Source organism: Homo sapiens, chromosome 16 (genome assembly GCF_000001405.40).
Source record: "Homo sapiens chromosome 16, GRCh38.p14 Primary Assembly".
In the NCBI taxonomy this organism is placed as follows: Eukaryota; Metazoa; Chordata; class Mammalia; order Primates; family Hominidae; genus Homo; species Homo sapiens.
The window spans coordinates 86,968,797-86,969,956 of NC_000016.10; the positions used below are offsets into that span (position 1 = coordinate 86,968,797).

Here is a 1,160-nt window from a genome sequence, read left to right on the forward strand (position 1 = left end):
CCCTAACAATGCCTTCACCTCTCAACAGACTGTCACAGACATCCACCAAGGCACCCACCCCACAACTGACCCCCCTGCAAATAGCTTTTCCACTCGGTATTAACAGAGGAGATGACCAGACGCGGTGAATTACTTGGAGCCTCAGATGCCCCAGTTGGAGTCACCATTTGTGAAGTCGCCGTCTGGTGACTGACGGGCAGACGCGAGGTCCGATCCGTCACGAGGGCAGGCTCAGGAAAGACACTTGCGTGGGAGAGCTAAAACAGATGTCAGGGCAGGGCTTGCCGGTGGAGCTCCTCCCAAGCCCCAGGGGCCCTGCCACACAGCGGCGCCTGGCCCTGGAGCACAGGGCAGGCTCCCAGGTTCTCTGAGACAGCCTCGCATTCCAGGGGCTCCTTTCCTCAGGGCAGGTGGTCAAATACCTAATGACATAAATAGTGTAGCATCCAGATGGTCATCACAAATACATTCCAAATTTTGCAGAGAAACGAAGAATTTTTTCACCATCAGTGTATGTGAGGTCATTTATTACAGGGGCAAAACATGTTTCATCCTCCAGCAGCCCTTAGTTTCTTCTCTTTTAAGCTACAAAGACTCTCAGCCAAAACATCAGAAAGAATTGGCAGGGTCTGTTTACCTAGTTTTAAGAAATCTAACATCTTTTCAATGGGGTCCACCCCAACTTGATGACAATCAAAGCAAACTTTGAGTCTTCTACGTAAAGGATCAGCCCCATTGAATATCCCTTGATGGTGGGTGGGTGACATGTGCGTGTCCTACTGAAACTCGAGCACCTCCACAAAGATTTCGCACTGAGGACACTGCATGGTCCTGGCTCAGCCTGTGACTTCAGACTTGGGACATACAACCTCTGTCTACCCTACAACCTCATGTCACAGAATTCTAGAATGTCCAAGCTGGAAAAGAGCCTGAGAGAAGGGGTTTTCCAGTGTCCACCCCAAGCCTGGATGCTGTGGCATCACCTGGAGGACCCATACTCTGACTGACGCCTGATCCAACCCCACCCCACCCCTAGCTCCAAGGCATCCTGGCTTAGGAGCTCTGGAGTGGTGGGGTCCAGGCATTTGTATTTCCCAATGACTTCTAGGTGATGAGGATGTACATCCAGGTGGCTGCCCTGAGCCTGGCCTCCAGCCTGC

The 1,160-nt window shown here is 52.0% G+C and overlaps 1 annotated feature.

Annotated features, from left to right (window-relative positions):
- Positions 233-733: an enhancer, noted in NCBI's record as "H3K4me1 hESC enhancer chr16:87002635-87003135 (GRCh37/hg19 assembly coordinates)". NCBI's record gives its function as "activates a minimal SCP1, AML or CMV promoter by ChIP-STARR-seq in primed H9 embryonic stem cells {active_cell/tissue: H9 hESC(primed)}" and the evidence as "EXISTENCE:reporter gene assay evidence [ECO:0000049][PMID:30033119]".